The sequence below is a fragment of the Homo sapiens genome, chromosome 8 (genome assembly GCF_000001405.40).
Source record: "Homo sapiens chromosome 8, GRCh38.p14 Primary Assembly".
Lineage (NCBI taxonomy): Eukaryota > Metazoa > Chordata > Mammalia > Primates > Hominidae > Homo > Homo sapiens.
In genome coordinates, this window is record NC_000008.11 from 101,513,800 (window position 1) to 101,526,987 (window position 13,188).

Genomic DNA, 13,188 nt, shown 5'->3' on the forward strand with positions numbered 1-13,188 from the left:
TGCATTTTGATATCTGTGTTATACCAGCTGATTTTAATGAGCTGGGAAACTTTCCGTGCTTTATTATGCGCTGCAACAATTCAAACAATGTTGAAATTATCTATTCCTTGAAGGTTGCTGGGCCCATGAAAGTCCTTGACTAACCTTTCAATGTCTTCTATGCTCCCTTTGTGTATCTGCCGAGGCTTTCACACTAAGGCGAAGTTTCAGCATTTATGTTTTACAGGAAGTCATCAGCTTCAGGTCTCCCTTATCTCACTGGGTCTGTCTTCTCACCCTTTCTTCATCAGATTTTACCTCTCCTGCTATTCTCTTCACCCCAGCCCCACTCTTACACACATACACATACATTTACATGCTCATACCCATATGTGCACACACACAGGACAGTTCAGTGCTTTTATGAATACTTGGCTAGAAAAACTGGAGCCACAGTACATTAGACTTACACAGTGATTCCTGTGGATAGAACTGGGACCAATAAGTGAAAACAAAGAGACTTTGTCTCAGTTTATGTATGTGTTAGTCCAGATGCTCCAAGAAGCAGACACCATGATGAGGTTAAACATGCGAGGATCTTACTAAGGGAATGCACCTGTGAGGGAATGGAGTAGGGGAGCTACGCAAGGGAAGGAGAGCCCCCAGACTCTGAGGCAAGCCCAGCCCAAGGGCTGGAGAGGTACCCAGCAGTCTAAGAAAGCTTCCTCAAAGCCCTAGGAGTCCTTTATTTTGTGCCATCAGAGGAGTCCTGCATCTGCCATGGAATCTGGGTCAGTACAACCTCTGGCTGGGAGCAGCCCGTGGGAGGCCTGGCTGCAGCTGGGCCCATGGGCAGCTGCTCTCCCGGCAGCTGGAGTGCTGCAAGGTGCCTGCTAGTGGCTGCCACAAAGTGAAAGTTTCCTAACAACTCGAGCTTTCTGCCAGTGGAATGAAGAGCTTTTTCAGGTAGTGACTTATTTCCAGAGATGTTTAGGCAGACGAATGTTAGGATGGGGCTCTCTGTTTGAGGGAGAAAGTCTCAACCTTTAAGTTCCACTTCCATGCTCACTTTTCTCTCTCCTCCTCTTCTCCTTCCTCCTCTACTCTCTGTCCTTCCCCCTTTCTTCTCTTCCTCCTTGTTCTTTCTTCTTCTCCTTTTTTCTTCTTCCTTTCCTTTCCTTTCTTTCCCTTCCTTTTCTTCTTTCCTTCCTTTCCTGCTTCCTCCCTTCCTTCCCCCCTTCATTTTCCTTCCTTCCTTCCTTCCATCCTTCCTTCCTTCCTTCCCTTGTTCCTACCTCCCTCCCTCCCTCCTTATAGGGATCACTGCAATGAGGTCTTGAAGTAGGAAAGAGAGAATAGACTCAACTCCCTCTCTCTTTCTCTCTCTCTGTCTCTCTGCACACACACACACACACACACACACACACACACATTAATATTATATATGAGGTTGGGGTGTGGCCATCACTTTTCCTACTTCATCAGCTTTTCTTACAAATTTAAAAAATGTCTTATGATGCTTACATTCCACAGTTCAACATCCTCTTCCCCTCTCCCAGCCTGAGAATGTCTTTCTTCCCAGAGTCCTGTCTCATTGTTGACAAGTTCAGGAACTACAGGTTTACTTAAGTCACGGATTCTGTCCTTGTTACAATATAGTGAGGAAAAAGAAAATGTAAAATGGGACCAGGAAGCCTATGTCTCTCCTGCCATTTCTGCTCTTTCCACCCTTCAGAGTCTGTTGAAAACCAAGACGTGTTGCATGCTGGGCACTGCATTTTCATGTTTCAGTGAGAGGCAGCTTAAGTGTTTTCACATGGAAGCCTTTCTCCCGTGAGGCATGCCCGCAGTGCAGAGGTTGGATGGGGGGTGATTTCCAGGATCAAGGAGATAGGGTGTCCAGGAAAGCCTGGGGATTGCACCTAAGAGGTCAGCTTGACCTTCCTCTTCCCTTCCTCTCTGGCGAGTTTCCCATTACAAACTCCTCCTGTCTTTTGCCAGCTGACTGGTGTTGGGGCCACTGTAGTCTACCAAAGACAGCTTAAGAATATTGCACTTTACAATAATGTTAATATCAAGCTCTTTCATAGTTACTGTACGTAGTGTGTCACAGGCACCCCTCTAAGCACTGTCCATGGATAACTCAATTCTCGAATGACATCTGTGAGGGTTCATGAGAAAATGGGAGCGCAGGTTGGCTCAGTAGCTTGTCAGAGGTCACAGGGCTGACAGGCAGCAGAGATGGAACTTGAACCCTGTGGTCTGACTCTGTGGTCTATGAATGTAACCTCATGCTTCACTGCCTGTTTCCTGAAAAGGGACCAAATGGGGTTTTGATCTCCTGCTTCTCAGGAGGTCCGGTGCCCATTTGCCTACTGCCTCCCTCCAGAAACCTGGTGGTTTAGTGGTTGACAACTGACAACCACAGACTGCCTCTGGGCTGCAGACATGTTGCAAATGACCCACATAATATTTTCTTAAAATATAATTTTAATTTTTATCAAAGAAGTATATTTAGTTCAAAATATCAAATCATACTTAAAACAATCTGTAAAAAATAGTAGTTTCCCCTACTCTTCTCTCTGATTCTGATCTCCAGCAACTGTACTGGATTTCTTTTTACCTCTTTTCCTTTTTTTTTTTTTTTTTTTTTTGAGACAGGGTCTCCCTCTGTGGCCAGGCTGGAGGGAGTGCAATGGTGTGATTATGGCTTACTGCAACCTCGATCTCCCAGGCTCAAGGGACACTCCCACCTCAGCTTCCCAAGTAGCTGGGACTACAGGCACATGCCACCATGCCCAGCTAATTTGTAAAGACTGAGTCTTACTATGTTGCTCTGGCTGGTCTCAAACTCATGAGCTCAGGCAATCCTCCTGTCTTGGCCTCCCAAAGTGCTGGGATTACAGGCATGAGCCACCGCACCCGGACCTATTACTTCTTGTTTACCTCCATATGTCTCAGAAATAAATACTGCTATTTCTTGATCTATCATTTTACGTATTATCTATTCACTTCCAACCATGAAGATAAAGGTTTGGCTCTGCCACAACCCACTTGCATGAATCAATTGTTTCTTCACTTATTGCCACCATCTGAAACCTGCTTGCATGGACTTTTAAGGCCAGTGAAAAGCCTGGGCATTTGAAGGTGTGGCAGGGTGGAAAACTCACATACCTTGGTTAAATGTTCTGGATCAAGTTCACTCCATATCTGCAGGACAGCATCATCCTGTTCCTGTGGTGGGATGCCTTTGGGTTTTAGGTCAGTCCTCTGCTTGATCATGGAGTCCTGGGGCCTCTGCTTCGATTGAGGACCGTCGCTTTGGCTCTTCACATCTCCCCTTTCCACCTTCACATCTCCTAGTCACTAGGGCTAAAAGTAAAGGGAAGCTGGGGATACTGGAGCCATGTCAATAACTCACAGTGGAAAACTCTTATGGAACTTCATCCGGGGCTTTCAGCAGTCTTCTCCCTGCCCCCTTCCCAGTTTTCCTTCCTTCAAAGGGTCTTACTGCATTTATCTCCCATTTTGTTTTCAGTTTTGCTAAGTTCCTATTCTCTGCTGAGGATGATTCATGGACGCCTCCTTCCACTCAGCCTAACCCCTCTGGATGGACCAGTACCCCCAGGACAACAAAGAGTGCAGGGAAAGTGTCCAGGCAGCTGCCACAATAACATTAAGCAAGCCACTAATGGCCACCAGCGCAAAGGGCTGTGCTGTCAGTCTAGTGGACTCTTTCTGCTAACAAAATCAGGCTGCATTTTGTATTTGATTCAGCTCTGCAAGACACTTTCCTTGGGCAATATTCCAACAGTTGTTGGGGAGTCTGTGTAGTTAAAAAAATTCTCACTTTCCTCAGAGACAATGTAGACAAGATGAGGCTTTCATAGAGCATCAGACAATATAAAAAGTACAACACTGACCTTTGTTTTTTCTTCAGACTTTCATGTCCGTTTGCAGTCATTTGATGCAAGCATCACAAATGTAATTAAGCAGCTATAGTTCCTAGAAAGCTTTAAGGCTTTATGCTTCTTGCAACCCTACCTGACTTTCTAACAGGATTGCTTGGCTAGCACCTGCTTGATATGAGTGAACCTGGGAGAGAGAACTCCACATTTTTGTGCAGCAGTGACACCAGATAGAAGAGACAGGCAACTCGGGCTCACCAGCACCTCGCTTATTCCCACTACATCACATGGCCAGCAGGAGAGCCCATGTAACTGCAGGGTTCTAGAAGTTCTAGAGCTTTCAGGCTCCACACACTCTTCCCTCCTGTAACACAGCTCACCCTTCTGATCTGAGACTTCGTCCACAGTATAGCAGCCTTTTCCTAAACTCTTCTGTGAATCTTCCCCCATATCACATACTTCCCTGCCTCTAATAATCATATCCTCCACCTCCTTGTGACTTTCCCTATTAGAAAATCATTAATCCAGCCTGGTCAACGTGGCAAAAACCCGTTTCTACAAAAAATGCAAAAAATTAGCCGGGCGTGATGGTGCATGCACCTGTAATCCCAGCTACTTGGGAGGCTGAGGTAGGAGAATCACTTGAGGCCTGGAGATCGAGGCTGCAGTGAGCTGTGATTGTGCCACTGCACTCTGGCCTGGGCAGCAGAGTGAGACCGTGTCTCAAAGAAAGGAAAAAATAAATAAAATCCCTAGTATAGGGATGGGCAGCCATTTCCAGGGTACCAGGAGTAGTACCCATACAGGATCACCTCCTCACTTGTAGGAACTCCACTTGACTTCTGGTGTGTTTGGTTACAAGAATATAATACAACCATTCTGCAGTGCCTGGTCTTCAGCTATTTTTGCCATTGCCTCCCTGCTCATCACCCATGCCACATGTTTTCTTTCTATGCACTGATCAATGTCCCTTCAACAGAACGATTCACTCCAAGTCAATGAGTTAGCTCTGCAAGTATGAGATCGTTCTGTGCTGCTTCTCTTTTCTCCCATACTAGAAAGACCCCCAAGTTCTTTCCATCTCTGCTAAAGTCTGAAAGTGGAGGTAATGACATCTCAAAGAGTTTTCTAAGGTGTTGTCTACTCCTTTGGGCTTCTGTCCATGTTGGGAGGATATTAGCAAGCACTCTACGTAATTTGTTGATTTAACTTCTGTCTCCTGTGCTGCTGTTTGTGAGGCACATTGGTATGAAAATCTTCCATTTCCCCCACTGGCCTCGTCTGTTGGAATGTATGACATGGGGCTGTGCAGTTGACAAATTTTTGAGATGTCTGCACACTCACATACACACATACACAATTTCTGTCCATTTTTGTTAGGTTTTATGGGAGAGTGGGTTTGTAATGCAGCCCTACTCTAATGCCTTTCACCTGAAATCTCTACTCATTTTTAGGTGTTTCAAGTTTTGTAGTCAAAGTTATCACTTTTTCTTCATTGATTTTTTTTTTTTTAATTTTAAGAGATAGGGTCTTGCTATGTTGCCCAGGCTGATCTTGAACTCCTGGCCTCAAGTAATCCTCCCGCCTTGGCTTCCCAAAAGTGCTGGAATTACAGCTGTGAGCCACTGTACTTGGCCCTTCATTGATTCTTCTACTGTTTTTATGTTTACATAGCTATTCCCAAATCCAAGGTCAGATTAAATATTCATCACTTATTACTTGAATTTTTTTTTAAAGGGTCTTGCTCTGTTACCCAGGCTGGAGTCCAGTGGTGTGATCATAGCTCACTGCAGCCTCAGACTCCTGGGTTTAAGCAATCCTCCTGCCTCACCGCAGAGAAGCTGGGATTACAGGTGTGCCACCATGACCAGCTTTTTTTTTTTTTTTTTGTATGGTTGCATATGAAACAACAAAAAACAATTGTCTGGAATTTATTTAAATCATCTCAAGTAAAGGTTTAATTTAAATAAGCTAACATACAAATGACCTTCATCCACATCACACACACCCCACCCTAACCCTAAGTGTATTGCAAACACACATATGTACGTATATATGAAGATATATGTATATGTGCATGTATATTCACATAACATATGCATATACAGATAAAAGGCTTTCTCCCCCATCTACTCACTGCTAATAATCAATTTAAAAATGAGAATATTTTAAAATCCATGCACAGATCCAGGACTAGAGGACTTGAGTGCTTATAATTATTGTCTAATTATTGAAAAACAAATAATTAGTTCTTATTTTCCTAATAGTTCCATTAGAAGCCCATCTAAATTTTAATCAGGCAAACTCAAGTTTAATTGGCTTTTATTATTTCCAGCATTTTAATTTTAGATCAAACTTATCATAAAGTCAATTTGTTTGCCCTATCTCCTTTTCTAGAAGGGACATCTTGTGTAAGCAACATATTTTGTATGGATTTTATACAGACTTTCCCATTACTTTCTTGTGGAACACTTGTAAGTTTCTAATCTATTCTCTTAGCTTTAAAGACAGAGGTGGAGTCCAACATTTCTACCATAGAGTATCTCTGTTACACAACTTTGGAGGAGATTATAGACTGATTCACGTAGTATGTGAGGTTACAAATTGAGTGAGACATAATACCCACTTGCACAAAGATGTAAAATTTAAGACAGTTATCTGAATAAAGAAAATGGCAGAAAATAATGACTGCCTTGAAATAAAGAAAAGGGCTACAGAATCTTAAGGAAGACCTTATAAAGATGATTTTTCTCATTATGCAGAAAGTAATCCTTAGTTTATCCTTCCTGGGCCATTTCAGTAACTGCCTTGTTGGTCTCCTACAACCTCTTTTCTGTTCAATCCCACGCAGCAGACAGGGTGATCTTTTAAAGGTCACAAGAGAACATCTTGTGTTTTTAAAAGATCACCCTCTGTATGGATTGAACAGAAAAGAGTTTGATCAAGATGTTCCCTTCCTAAAGACCTCACATGAGTACCCTGTGCACTTAGCATACAAAATGTAAAATCCTAAAAGTGAATTACTAATCCTGGCATAATCTGGCCTCTGCTTATCTCTTAAGTTTCATCAGACACTGCCCTCTTCCTTCTTGAAACATTATGGTCCAGCTATACTGCCCTTCATTTAGTCCTTCGATTGGGAGAAGTTCCAACCTGCCTCAGGGACCTTGCACATGCTGTTCCTGTAATGACATTCCTTCCTCTTTTCCTTGAGAAATTCCTCCTCCTTCTGCAAGTCTCAATTTGTGTTTGAATACTTTCACAGTAACCCCATCCTAAGCAGCCCCATCTCAATCTAAATTAGATCCTCCATCAGTCTGAGTTCTTCGTGATGAATAATCTAAGATAGGATTACTCATGCAATACTTGTATTAGGGGAACCACCTGTGAGAAAAAAATACAGAGGGAGCTGGCAAAGTGGGGGAACTGTCAGACAACAATGTGAGTCTGACTTGGAGTGAAGAAGAGAGGGAGGAAATGTTGAGCAGAAGCTTCCAGGGCTGCTGTGCAGTCTAAAGAAGATGCAGCAGGGCCATGGGGTGGGGGTGAGGGTCTTTGAGTCAGAGCCAGCCATCAGAGGAGTCCCTGTTCCCCAAGAATGTGCCGCTTTGGTAGTCCTACCACACATGATCGCTGGCTGGAAGCAGCCCATGGCGAAGTGTGGTCTCCACACAAATGTGGTGATAAATTTCAGTGACGGGCAACAGGATCTTTGGCCCATGATGCTTTCTGTGGTTGGAGGTGTTGTGAGGTGCTCCTGGCTACCACATGGTCCCCATGATATTTTCTCTTGTAGCACCCTGTACTTTTCTTCATTAACACTCGTCACATCTGCAGTTGTATATTCTTCTGTCAGAGCTTCACCAGGGCAGAGACTGGGTCTGTCTTTTTCATCGCTGTATCCCAGTACTCAAAGCAGTACCAGCTCACAGTAGGTGCTCAGTTAAGACCTGTCGAATGAATGTGATCTTAACTTTCATGGTTTTTAAGTAGCAGTGTTTCCGTTATTTAACAAGACATAACTTCCATGATAAGATTTTTTATTACATCTTTATACTTGGACTTATATACCTAGGGATTAGGGCCGATTATAAAAAAAAGTTTTAAAAATGTAATTTTTTGTTAGCTTTTAGAGAACGCTGTGGTAATAAGCTGACTTGAACTAATCAGTTCGTAGATGAAATGCTCCTTAATAGGAGAGACTGTGTCTGGCTTGGTCAACACTGCCCCCTGCACCTAGCTCAGAGCCTGTAGTACAGCAGGAGCTCAATAAAGGTTTGTTCAATGAACTGAGTGGGAAATTTAGGGCAGGGGTGTGAATGGAGGAAGAAAACTTTGGTAGGAAGCTGTTTGTAATTTTGGTTTTGTCCTCATGGAAGAGTGCTTATATGTTTGCAAAGCACTAAAGATTTTTTTTAAATATATATTTTTATTATACTTTAAGTTCTAGGGTACATGGCCCAAGTGTGTGATGTTCCCCTTCCTGGCAAAGGACTAATGATTAACCAACAGTATGCAGTTGGTTCTTCATATCCAAGGTTCCAAAACTGTGGGTCTAACCAGCTGTATTTCAAAGATAGTCAGAAAAAAAATAATAACAATAATAACAATAAAAATAATACAAATGAAAACAATATAACAACTATTTTCCTAGCATTTACATTGTATTAGGTATTATAAGTAATCTAGAGGTGATCTAAAGTATATAGTAGGATGTGCATGGGTTATATACCTAAAATACCAGGCCATTTTATATACGACACTTGAGCATCTGTGGGCCTGGAACCAATCCCCTGTGGATATGTGTCCTCCAGCAATTTGTCCTTGAATTATTTCAGTGTTAACAAAATAACTGTGTAATCCCAGGGAAATGGTATAACCTCTCTGGACTTCAGTTTTCCTATTTGTAAAATGAGAAGTTTGGAGTGGATGATCATGAAGATTTCTTTGCAGCACTTGTGTGCTACAGGTCTATTCATAAACACAAAAATGAGTACCTCAGGCCATTGCCAAGCCTTACAAATACAAGTATGTTTATACATATACATATACATATATATATATACACACACATATACATATATATATATAAACATCTATATCTGAGTTGTTTTGGAATTGAAGTTGCATGAAATATAACTTGCTTTTTTTTTTAACTTTAATTTCTAAATAGGCCTTCTGTTCATATACTGATTGGGACCACAAAGTAGAAATCTATTATTCTTTGTTTCTTTTTTTTTTTAGATGGAATCTCGCTCTGTCACCCAGGCTGGAGTGCAGTGGTGCGATTTCTGCTCACTGCAACCTCCGCCTCCCTGGTTCAAGTGATTCTCGTGTCTCAGCCTCCTGAGTAGCTGGGATTACAGGCACCCGCCACCATGCCCCGCTAATTTTTTTTTTATTTTTCGTAAAGATGGGTTTCACCACATTGCCCAGGCTGGTCTCAAACTCCTGGCCTCAAGTGATCCACCCACCTCGGCCTCCCAAAGTGCTGGGATTACAGACTTAAGCCACTGCGCCCAGCCAACATCTATTATTCTTACAAGGAATGAAAGGGGATTTTTTTTTTTTCCATACAGGTGAAGAGAGAAAGGTGTACAATAAAAACCTCTTTCCTTGGAGAGGGGAACTGCATAAAGATGACTGTGACCATGCTTTTATGTATGAAGCAGAGGAAAGGAAATCAAGAATGTTGGATGCTATGGAGAGAAAACACCCAAAATTATTAGTTCCCCACTACCACCCGTCCCAGCTTGTTTCTTCAGTCCAGTACTTTTATATCCACTGAAAGTTTTTTTTTTTTTAAGGGGGGTGGGGTCTCACTGTGTCACCCAGGCTGGAGTGTGGTGGCACATCACGGCTCACTGCAACCTCAATCTCCAGGCCTCAAGTGATCCTTCCACCTCAGCCTCCCAAGTAGCTGGGACTACAAGCATGCACCACCATGTGTGGCTAATTTTTTAAATTATTATTTGTAAAGATGGGTTTTTGCCATGTTGTCTGCTTGGTCTTGAATTCCTGGGCTCAAACGATCCTCCCACCTCAGCCTCTCAAAATGTTAGAATTACAAGTGTGAGCCACTGGCCCAGCCTTCTTTTCCATTTATATTCAGTTGCATAAGCTATATATATATTTAAAACCACTAAATAAAGACAAATCACGCACCATCCCACCTCCAAAAGTTACTTGTTTTGCTTTCTTCTGGTTCATAACCTTATTTGTTTTGACTCACATACTTATTGGTTTAACGCAGTTGCTACCATAATCACCAATCATCAGGTGCGTAATAGAATGCCCCACCATTTGGATTTGTCTTATGTTTTCTCTTCAAGATGTGCCTCTCTCAGGGTATAACTTGGTTAAGGTAGTAGCTGCCAGGTTTCTGCACTGAAAAATCACTGTTTTTCTCTTTCCAAATAATTGAATCACTTTGGATTGTTTATATTTTTCCAGAAATGTTCCCATTTTGTCTGTTTTCAAATATTAGCATAAAGTGATTCACAAAATTGTCTTTTTTCAGAAGAGAATTGTCACATCTAAAATTGTCTTCCTTTTCTAATATTTGATTATCTTTGCCAGTTTGTTAGTTTTCTTTGCCATTTCAAAGAACCAATTTTCATCTTAAATTGTCCTTTCTGTCAAGTCTTTACTTCGTTAATTTGTTTTATCTTTATTACATCCATCTTTCTAAGTTCTTCAGGTTAATTCTTTTATTTTTTTCTAACACGTTACATGCTTAGCTCTTTAACTTTTTAGCCTTTGTTCCCATCTAACATAAGCAGTTAAAGTATGAAATTTGCCTCTAAGTGCTGATTTATCTATATCCCACAACATATAGTATTTTATCATGGAGTTCTAATTAAAAAAAAAGCTTCCTTTAAGAGCTGTTCTTTGACCTGTGAATATTTAGAAAACTATGTTATAATTTCAAAACATATAGTCTTTAAATTTCATCTTCTTTGCTGTTGGTTTAAAATTTAACTATGTTGTGGTCAGAGAATTTGGTTTGTATTATAAGAGTTCTTTGAAATGGGTAGAGTCTTGCTTAATGGCCTGATATTAGGTCAGTTTTCTTATGTATCATGGGTACTTAAAAAATAATACTGGCTTTAAAAAAAAAATCCAGTTTGAAAGTATTTATCTTTTGAAGGTAGGGTTAACCCATTTTCATATATTATAATTGCTGATATATAGAGTCTTGTTTTTTCTATGCCATACCATTATTTTTATTTTTGTTTATTTTTGTTGCATTGATCAACATATCTTTTTTTTTGAGATGGAGTTTTGCTCTTGTTGCCCAGGCTGGAGTGCAATGGCGCGATCTCGGCTCACCACAACCTCCGCCTCCCAGGTTCAAGCGATTCTCCTGCCTCAGCTTCCTGCGTAGCTGGGATTACAGGCACTGGCCACCAGGCCCAGCTAATTTTTGTATTTTTAGTAGAGACAGGGTTTCATCATGTTGGTCAGGCTGGTCTCGAACTCCTGACCTCAGGTGATCTGCCTGCCTTGGCCTCCCAAAGTGCTGGAATTACAGGTGTGAGCCACTGTGCCTGGCTAATATATCTTTTTTCATTATTTTTCTCTGGTTATTTTCTAGAGCAGTGCTTCTCAAATTTTTGTTCTCAGAATTTCTTTAATACTCTTAAATTATTGAAGTCCCAGAAGAGTTTGTATTTATGTGGGTTATATCTATTGATATATATCATATGAAAAATTAAAGACAGTAAATTTTAAAAAATACTTATTTATGGCTCAATTAAAATAATAATTGTAAACCATGTGATAGTTATAAAGCATATTAACATATTGTTTTATTTCATTATTATGCTTTTTAACCTTTTTTTTTTCTTTTTGAGATGATATCTTGATATATTGCCCAGGCTGGTCTTGAATTCCTGGATTCAAGCCATCTTCATGCCTCAGCCTCCCAAGTAGCTGGGATTCCAGGTGTGTACCACCACACCCGGCTTGAAATAACATTTTTGAAATGAAACATAACTGGTTGGGTGTGGTGGCTCATGCCTGTAATCCCAGCAGTTTGGGAGGCCGAGGTGGGTGGATCACTTGAGGTCAGGAGTTTGAGACCAGCCTGGCCAACATGGTAAAACCCCACCTCTACAAAAATTACCAAAAATTAGCTGGGTGTGGTGGCACATGTCTGTAATCCCAGCTACTCGGGAGGCTGAGGCAGAATGGCTTGAACCCAGGAGGTGGAGGTTACAGTGAGCTGAGATCATGCCCCTGCACTCCAGCTGGGCAAGAGAGCAAGACTCTGTTTCAGAAAAGTAAAACCCAAACTAAAATTTTCAAAACATACGAATTTAATGAGAAGAGTAGTGTTATTTCACATTTTTGCAACTTTCTTTAATGCCTGGCTTAGCAGATGACTGCTAGATTCTCACATCTGCCTCTTCATTCAATCTATTACAAAATGTTATTTTGGTTAGAGAATCCTGCTTCACACTGATAGTTGGAAAAGGAAAATATATTTTCATATAACTATATATTCTTTGATACCTCACCAAAATTCAAAACTGGTAGTTTTTAAAGGTTAATTGCAATGTGGAAACTGAAATCATACACTGAACTTTCTCTGTTACATTAAAATCTATAGGCTTGTCTTGCACTTTGAATAGAACTTATATTGTGTGTTATTCTATAACATCATGCATTGGCATTTGGAATTATTGGTTGACTGAGTTATTTGGATTTTCCAAATGTTAATGTGCTTCATGATACATTAGCAAAAAATTATATCCATTAACCTCATCAGAAAATAAAGTACTAGAAAGTTATCAGTAGTGGTGGATGCAAGTTTCCAAAAATTTTCTTTTTTTCCTTTTTTTTTTTTTTTTTTTTTGCTTGAAAGCTCAAATTTTACCATTGGCAACAAATACTGTCTGTTGTTTTCTGTGAAGTGATAGACTCTCGCTTGGTTTATTTTTGAGAAGACATCAGCCAAACACTCAAGTCTGAACACGTAGTTTGTCAATATGTCATTCTTTCAGGTAAAAATGGAATCCCTTAAAAAAAGCAGCTAGTTTCAACTCCTACTCAAAGCACTGCACGAGTGCTTTTCCTTGAGGCAATTGCTGTATTTCGGTATGCAGTCAAAGTGCTTTACACGTACTTCCTGCTTTGTCACACAGAATATTAAAAAGATTGGTACCCAAAGTGTGAGGTTAATAAAATTAATATTCTATACTGCTTCATGAAGGACATTCTCAAGTGAAACTAGCACGTATTTGCTTGTTTGTTTGCTTGTTTTGTTTTTATTGTATGTGATGATAAAAATATAATA

General features: G+C 40.8%; 1 protein-coding gene across 4 annotated transcripts in view, besides 1 other annotated feature; it reads left to right on the forward strand.

Annotated features, from left to right (window-relative positions):
* GRHL2 (grainyhead like transcription factor 2) overlaps positions 1–13,188 on the forward strand; it is a 188,762-nt gene that overhangs the window by 21,361 nt on the left and 154,213 nt on the right. The window lies entirely within an intron of this gene.
* Positions 2,417–2,466: an enhancer, noted in NCBI's record as "active region_27730". NCBI's record gives its function as "activates an Ori minimal core promoter by ATAC-STARR-seq in GM12878 lymphoblastoid cells {active_cell/tissue: GM12878}" and the evidence as "EXISTENCE:reporter gene assay evidence [ECO:0000049][PMID:35858748]".